Here is an 8,855-nt window from a genome sequence, read left to right as displayed (position 1 = left end):
CCCGGTCTCGGGTATGTCTTTATTAGCAGCGTGAGAACAGACTAATACACCATGTGAACCATGAGGATAAAGATTCTTAGAGGGGACACACTGGTTAAATAGGGGAGTGGGTGTGGATAGAGTATTAGTCAAAGAAGGTTGTGATCTACCTTTTTTTTTTTTGAGACGGAGGGTTGCTCTGTCGTCTGGGCTGGAGTGCAATGGCATGATCTGGGCTCACTGCAACCTCTGCCTCCCGGTTTCAAGCAATTCTCTTGCCTCAGCCTCCAGAGTAGCTGGGATTACAAGTCCATGCCACATTGCCCGGCTAATTTTTGTATTTTTAGTAGAGACAGGGTTTCACCACATTGGTCAGGCTGGTCTTGAACTCCTGACCTCAGGTGATCCACCTGCCTCGGCCTCCCAAAGTGCTGGGATTACAGGCGTGAGCCACTGCACCCGGCCGATCTACTACTCTTAACACATTTATGTCTGCTGAGAACGCATAAATAGTAGTCAAACAGAGATAGGTGGGGTGTGCTGATTTGCAACCACATCTTAGAGTACTCCTATTTTGCTCTGGGGAGACTTCTGTTCCCCACTTTCAGTCCCTGTACTCCAGATAAAGCCAACTCAGCTCTAGAGGTGGAACATGTGTCCAAGCCTAAGCCAATCAGAACATGCTTATACCCCTGGCCACTGGGACTGGTTCAGAAATGGGCACCTCAGAAATGGGGCCATCTAAGATGGTCCACTCGTTGGATCCTAGGTCTTGCTGCAGCTCCCTAGAACGATTTCTCTCTCGCTCCCTCTCATTGAACTTGAGCCTCAGAGGCTGAGTCGAGAGCTGCTACTTCGACCAACTGCTCGGAGCCTGAGAAAGAAACCAGCACACAGAGAAGAGCAGTCAGCCAAGAAACAGAAAAATCCATTTCCCCTTCACATTGTTGAGCCCTGAGTTAGGCCTCTCCTGAAACTGGTCCTCCATTCCACGAGCCAATAAATTCCCATTTGCCTTAATCCAATTTGAGCTAGTTTTCTATACTGCATACTCAGAGTCCTACCTGAGAGAATCAGTATGCTTAACCCATAATAGGTGTTCAAAAGGTTTTTGTTTTTGTTGTTGTTGTCTGCTTTTTTGTAGAGATGGGGTCTGACTCTGTTGCCCAGGCTTATTTCCAACTTCTGGCCTCAAGCCATCCTCCTGCCTCCCAAAGTGCTGGGATTATAGGCTTGAGCCACCATGCCCGGCCTCAAAAAGTTTTTTTGAATGAATTAGTGAATCAAGCTTTTATCTTAATGTACCATTAAGTTATACACAGATATTTCAGCTTCCTTCCTGGTTCCTTTCGCCAAGTGAGTTAAAAAAAACTTCATGTGTTTAAATTTAAGGTAGAGAGGCCAGGCTCGGTGGCTCATGCCTGTAATCCCAGCACTTTGGGAGGCTGAGGCAGGTGGATCACCTGAGGTCAGGAGTTCAAAACCAGCCTGGCCAACATGGTGAAACCCTATCTCTATTAAAACTACAAAAATTAGCAGGGCGTGGTGGTGGGCGCCTGTAATCCCAGCTGTTTGGGAGGCTGAGGCAGGAAAATCACTTGAACCTGGGAGGCGGAAGTTACAGTGAGCCGAGATCTTGCCATTGCACTCCAGCCTGGGCAACAGGAGCGAAACTCTGTCTCAAAGAAAAAAAAATTAAGGTAGATAAATGGTAGGTATTACTGTGATTGTGATTATTATTTTATAATCTTTGTGGCAGTTTTTGTTTGTTTATTTGACATGGGGTCTTATTCTGTTGCTCAGGCTGGAGTGCAGTGGCGCAATCATAGCTCACTCGAACTCTTGGGCCCAAGCGATCCCCCTGCCTCTGCCTCCCAAAAAGCTGGATTACAGGCATGAATAACCATTCCCACCAGTAGGTATTATTTTATTTATTTATTTTGAGATGGAGTCTCGCTCTGTTACCCAGGCTGGAGTGCAGTGGTGCGACCTTGGCTCACTGCAACCTCCGCCTCCCAGGTTCAAGCGATTCTCCTGCCACAGCCTCCTGAACAGCTGGGATTACAGGGGTCTGTCACCACACCTGGCTCATTTTTTTGTATTTATAGTAGAGGCGGGGTTTCACCATGTTGGACAGGCTGGTCTCGAACTCCTGACCTCAATTGATCTGCCTGCCTTGGCCTCCCAAAGTGCTGGGATTACAGGCATGAGCCGCTGTACCCAGCTGAGTAGCATTTACTTTTGTTTGAAGATGAGCAGAGCAGAAGATGAGAGAGAATTAGGGAGAACAAGAAGGAAGAAAACTAGAGCTGGTGAAGATAAGAAAATTAGTGGAGGACTTCCAGAGTAAGGGGTTACCTACTCAGAAAAGAGGCAAAATTTAAATGCCCTCTAAAAAGCTGGACACTATGGCACCTTAAATGAAGAAACTCAGACTCAGGGCAGAGAACAGTCTTCTAAGGCTTGCACCCTGAAAAGCACAGACTCTTTAAGGGCACTGCAAATTGTATAAACAGGATCAATCTATTAGAAACTCTTGCCAGTGTGTGGGAAAAGAAAATTTATCTTTTGACCTGTGTTTCAAGTACCTTTATATTAGGTAACTACTGACAGACTTGACGGCTTAATACAAGTTGAGTATCCTTAATGCAAAATGTTTGGGACCAGAACTGTTTCAGATTTTGGAATATTTGCATATACATAAGGAGATCTGTTGGGAATGGAGCCCAGGTCTAAATATGAAATTCATTTATGTTTCATATATACCTTATGCACATAGACCGAAGGTGGTTTTATATAATATTTTATTTTTAATCATTTATTTATTTATTTTGAGACAGGTTCTTGCTCTGTCACTCCAGTTGGAGTATAAGGGTGTGATCTCAGCTCACTGCAACCTCAACTTCCCAGGTTTGAGTGATCCTCCCACCTCGGCCTCCCAAGTAGCCGGGACTAAAGACCCATGCCATCCTGCCCAGCTAATTTTTGTATTTTTTTCTTTAATTGAGACAGGGTGCCACTCTGTTGCCCAGGCTGGAGTGCAGTGGTGCCATCTCAGCTCACTGAAAACTCCACCTCCCAGATTCAAGCCATTCTCGTGCCTCAGCTTCTCGAGTAGCTGGGATTAAGGTGCATAGCACTATGCCCAGCTCATTTTTGTTTTTTCAGTAGAGATGGGGTTTCACCATGTTGGCCAGGCTGGTCTCGAACTCCTGGCCTCAGATGATTCACCCACTGCAGCCTCCCAAAGTGCTGGGGTTACAGGTGTGAACCACTGTGCCCAGCCAAATTTTTGTATTATTATTATTATTGTTTTGGTAGAGACAGGGTTTTGCTGTATTGCCCAGGCTGGTCTCGAACTCCTGGGCTCAAGCTATCTGCCCACTTCAGCCCCCCAGAGTGCTGAGATTACAGGTGTAAGCCACTGCGCCCAGCCCATACAATATCTTAAATAATTTTGTATATGAAACAAAGTTTTTATTTTATTATGCTTTGTGGATGCGCTTGCACGAAGGAATCTGAACAGATGCAGAAAAGATATCACAGCTGAAGAGGACTGGGAGGGTCTTTTTTCCTCTGAGAATGCTAAGTAAACTGTGTGCTGTCAGCCTTTGTTTTGACTTCAACTCATCACATGAGGTCATGTGTGGAATTTTTCTCTTGTGGCATCATGTTAATACTCAAAAAAGTTTTGGATTCTGGAACATTTACGATTTTGAATTTTCAGATTAAGGATGTTCAACCTATATAACCATTTATTTTGCATGCAGTTTTGTGAGTATGAAATTTGGGAAGGGCTCTGCTAGACAGTTTGTCTGCCTGGCTTTCTGTCGGGTAATGAGATCTGGAACATGCACTTCCCAGGTGGTGTCTTTCCTCACAGTCTCTCAAATGCTCTGGAGCTTTTCTTGTTCTATACCTAGCACTGGAGCCCCTAGGGCCCCTTCATGTGGCTTGGACTTCTCATAGCATGGGGGCTCTCAGAATAGTTGCACTTCGCCGAAGTGGGAAGTAGATGTTACCAGGCCAAACAAGGGCTGCACCTGAAAAAGCGCAATGTCACTATTACCATATTCTATTGGTCAAAGCAGTCACAGGGCCCAGGTTCAAAGGAGAGTGACAAGATCACATTGCAGAAGAGCACTAGGATCAGGAGGATATTGTGGCTGCTTTTGGAACATACAATCTGCCACAAGCTATAATTTATTTATTTTTTTGAGACAGGGTCTCGCTCTGTTGCCCAGGCTGGAGTGCAGTGGTGCGATCTCAGCTCACTGCAACCTCTGCCTCCCAGGTTCAAGCAATTCTCCTGCCTTAGCTTCCCAAGTAGTTGGGACTACAGGCATGCGCCACCACCCCCAGCTAATTTTTGTATTTTTAGTAGAGACAAGGTTTTGCTATGTTGGCCAGGCTGGTCTCGAACTCCTGACCTCAGGTGATCCACCCGCCTCGGCCTCCCAAAGTGCTGAAATTACAGGTGTGAGCCACCGTGCCTGGCCACAACCTATAATCATATCCTTATAAATGTATTACGTAGAAATAATCCAAGGAATATATAAGAACAGAAAAGTTCGTCTCAACTTTAGTAGGGAAAAAATTTGGAAAAAACCTACATGTCTCCTGATAGATAAATAGCTAAGTAAATTATCACATACCAACTAACAGGAATATGAAGCTGTAGTAATTAAGATGATTATGAAACAATTTGAATGAAAGTTGGTATAAATGGAGAAAAAGTAAAATTAAGAAGCACATACACTGTGATGATAATTATGTAAAAGCCTGTATGCATCTGGACAAAGTCTGGAAGGAAATCAGTGGAAATGGAGATAATTGCATTGAGGTGGTAAGATTATGTAAGCCTTAGATTTTCTTCTTTATTGTTATAGCATCACAAAAAATAAAAATGAGAAGAAAAGAAGAGAATTACAATTTTAATGGTCAGTGCTCAATACTTGGTAGGTACATGTACTAAGTGCAGGGAAGGCAAAGGGGACACTCATTACACTCTAATTCACTCAGATTCAGAGAAACTTCCAGGCCAGAGGAGCCACAGATATTTATAATTAATAACCTGTTTTGACCCCTTATCTTTGGAATGCTGATTAACATGAAGCAATAATTACTATTAATATATTAGTCTTTCAATATTGCTGAGACTATTCATAAGACTGAAAACCCTTTAAAAAGCTCCCACGACGGCCGGGCGCGGTGGCTCACGCCTGTAATCCCAGCACTTTGGGAGGCCGAGGCGGGCGGATCACGAGGTCAGGAGATCGAGACCACGGTGAAACCCCGTCTCTACTAAAAATACAAAAAATTAGCCGGGCGCAGTGGCGGGCGCCTGTAGTCCCAGCTACTCGGGAGGCTGAGGCAGGAGAACGGCGTGAACCCGGAAGGCGGAGCTTGCAGTGAGCGGAGATCGCGCCACAGCACTCCCGCCTGGGCGACAGAACGAGACTCCGTCCCAAAAAAAAAAAAAAAAAAAAAAAGCTCCCACGACACATAAACATAAGGTGATATTTTAATCTTTATCATAATGAATTTATCCAATCCAGGGTTTCTAAAATTGTCAGTGGTAATTTGGCCTGGGAATTTATCCTAGAATACTCTGACGAGAACTAGATTAATTCTGGTCTCCCACTTCACAGTGTTCTGTTTGCCTTGGGACTCATTGTAGGTAAAAAGGATGTGGAGTCTGGAATAGTCTATGCTTATGAAACCGCAAGCAAAATTCCTAGAGTGGCCCTGAATTCAACCCATCTTCCTGGGACTATGACACTCATGGCTATGGGTGAAACCAACCTTTGAACAGTCATTGCATTCCAGTACTCCCATAACTTGCTAGTCATTGCATTTTTTTCAAGGCCTCTTTTGAAGAGTTATTAAGGAAGGTAAAAGTGCATAAAGGTCAAAGTCTTAAGAAAGTCTGATTAAATAATTGCAAAAACAATTTTTTTTTTTTGAGGCAAAGTCTTGCTTTGTTGCCCAGGCTGGAGTGAAGTGGCATGATCTCGGCTCACTACAACCTCCGCCTCCCAGGTTCAAGCGATTCTCCTGCCTCAGACTCCTGAGTAGCTGGGATTACAGGCATCTGCCACCATGCCTGGCTACAGAAATGTTTTTTTAAAAAAAGAACATATCATGAGTTGGCATAGCCACTAATTATGTTAACATAGTTAATAACTGGGGAAAACCTGAATGAGGGAAGTGTTTAGATTACATCTTGGTAAATTATTTTGATTTGGTTCAATTGCCTTTTGGGAAGTTAAAAAAAGGGAAGGGGCTATCTACTGGTTGCCAAAAAAATTACTGATATTCTTAGACTTGTCAAAAGACAAAGTTACAACAAGTTTAGTTTAAATATCTCAGTTGGGCTGGGTGCGGTGGCTCATGCCTGTAATCCCAGCACTTTGGGAGGCTGAGGCGGGTAAATCACTTGAGGTTAGGAGTTCAATACCAGCCTGGCCAACATGGTGAAATCCTGTCTCTACTAAAAATACAAAAATTAGCCGGGCATGGTGGTGTGCACCTGTAGTTCTAGCTACTTGGCAGGCTGAGGTGGAAGAATCCCTTGAACCCAGGAGTTGGAGGTTGCAGTGAGCTGAGATCTCACCACTACACTATAGCCTGGGCAACAGAGTGTGACTCTGCCAAAAAAAAAAAAAAAAAAAAAATCTCAATTGGCTTTATTTGCAATTCTAGAAACAGGTAACACTTTGTTCCACAAAACAGAATCATGAGCTGAGCAGAAGGCATTGGCTTCACAGAGCAAGAAGGAATGAAGAAAGAAGCAGGCTGGGTGCAGTGGCTCACACCTGTAATCCCAGCACTTTAGGAGGCCCAGAAGGGTGGATCACTTGAGGTCACGAGTTCAAGATCAGCCTGGGCAACATGCTGAAACTCCATCTCTACTAAAAAATACAAAAATTAGCCGGGTGTGGTGGCCCATGCCTGTAATCCCAGCTACCCGGGAAGCTGAGGTGGGAGGATCATGGTGGACCAGCCCATGAGGTGGAGGTTGCAGTGAACTGAGATGGCACCACTGTACTCCTGCCTGGACGACAGAGCGAGCCTCTGTCTCAGGAAAAAAAAAAAAAAAAGAAGAAGCAAAGATTATGTCCATTGTTTCAAAGTGACTTTTCTTGTAAGATGAGACAAGGAGATAGAACAACAGAAAAATAACTGATTAGTTAACATCAGGCTTCTTGGGGCTACTTTTTCTGTGTGTGAAAGGATTAAAGCAGAGGGAAACTCATTATCGTGACTCTTGAAGATTAAGTGACCTGTTTGGGAATTTGGCTATCTCTCTCTCCTGCTTTCTCTTGAGACAGGAATAATACAGGGTGGTTGCAAGAGAACAGAAAATTCCAGGCAGCAGTTTCACATGCCTAGCAAAATGAAACTGTTGAAATAGCTCCATAAACTGGGGACTGATAAGACCATGAAAAACAGGATGTGGGCCAAGCTGGCTAAAACCAACTGGACCCAACAGAGAGCAGGATTTGACCTAGGTTTCTCCTAGGACCTCATTATTCACCCATTAATAAACAAATCGCACACCCACCTACACTGTGACAAGAACACTGTATTTGGTGTTAAAATGGGCAGCATCACAGTTCTGAGAAATCTTCACCTTTTTCCAGGAATCTTCATGAATAGTCCACCCCTTGGGTAAAGAAACCCATATAAGAAACCCCAAGCCCCTTTGTGCAGCTCTCTCATGAGTATGCCCATGCTCCCCTTTCTTGAGTGTGTATTTTTACTTTGCAATAAATCTCCGTACTTTCACGATTTTCTGACTCATCCTTGAATTCCTTCTCATCATGGTATCAAGAACCTGCACACTGGCCTGGGTCAGGGTTTCATCAGTGTTTGGGAACTTCCCCCAGCCCACTGGTCTCACTCTGAAGATCAGATAACAACTTATTGAAGTTTGGTGACAGAACTTTAGCATGGGTGACTCCATTTTGATTTTTGGTTTTGTCTGTTGGAGCATAGTACAGAAACTTAATCCAAAAAAACAACCTCCTATACTTTTTATTCAACAGAATCAACATTTCAGGTTTCTTTTTTAACCTGAAATTGGTGTTTCATTTAATAAATGCTTACCTAGTAGTTACTCGGTGGCATTATCCTGTACTTTACAGACATTAACTAATTTAGTTATCAATAACCCATTGAGTAGAAAAAACAGTTTTTCCTCTGCTCTCACACCAGTCTCACAGAAGACTTCTGTGACCAAATGTGTGGGAGTTTCTCTCCACCAGCAAGAAATAAAAAAAATTAGGGGGAAGGGCAAGGGGGTGCACCTATGGTCCCAGCTAGGGATGCTGAGGTGGGATTACCTCTTGAGCCTGAGAGGTTGATAGGCTGCAGTAAGCCTTGATCATGCCACTGCACTCCAGCCTGGGTGACAGAGCAAGACCCTGTCTAAGAAAAATTCTGCAATGGACACTAGCTGGGTGGTGGTGGTGGCAGCAGGGGGTGGGGGGGGCAGGTCCTCTAATTCAATCCGATTCTCATACTATCTACTTGGGTAGTGTCAGATGCCATAGGTTGAGGACTCAGTCCCACTTCCAATGCAATTGCAAGCCCCAGGTTGTTTTGTCTGTGCTTCTGACCTACCAACTATAAATCACGGTTCCATGACCCCCTTCTTGGGGGATTTATTTGCTAGAGCTGCTCACAGAGCTCAGGGAAATACATATCTACATTTATCAGTTCATTATAAAGAATATTATTGGCAGGTGCCTGTGATCCCAGTTACTCAGGAGGCTGAGACAGGAGAAACGCTTGAACAGGGAGGCAGAGGTTGCAGTGAGCCAAGATTGTGCCATTGCACTCCAGCCTGGATGACAGAGTGAGGCTCTGTA

This window comes from Homo sapiens, chromosome 12 (assembly GCF_000001405.40).
Source record: "Homo sapiens chromosome 12, GRCh38.p14 Primary Assembly".
Classification (NCBI taxonomy): domain Eukaryota; kingdom Metazoa; phylum Chordata; class Mammalia; order Primates; family Hominidae; genus Homo; species Homo sapiens.
This window is presented reverse-complemented; position numbering follows the sequence as displayed.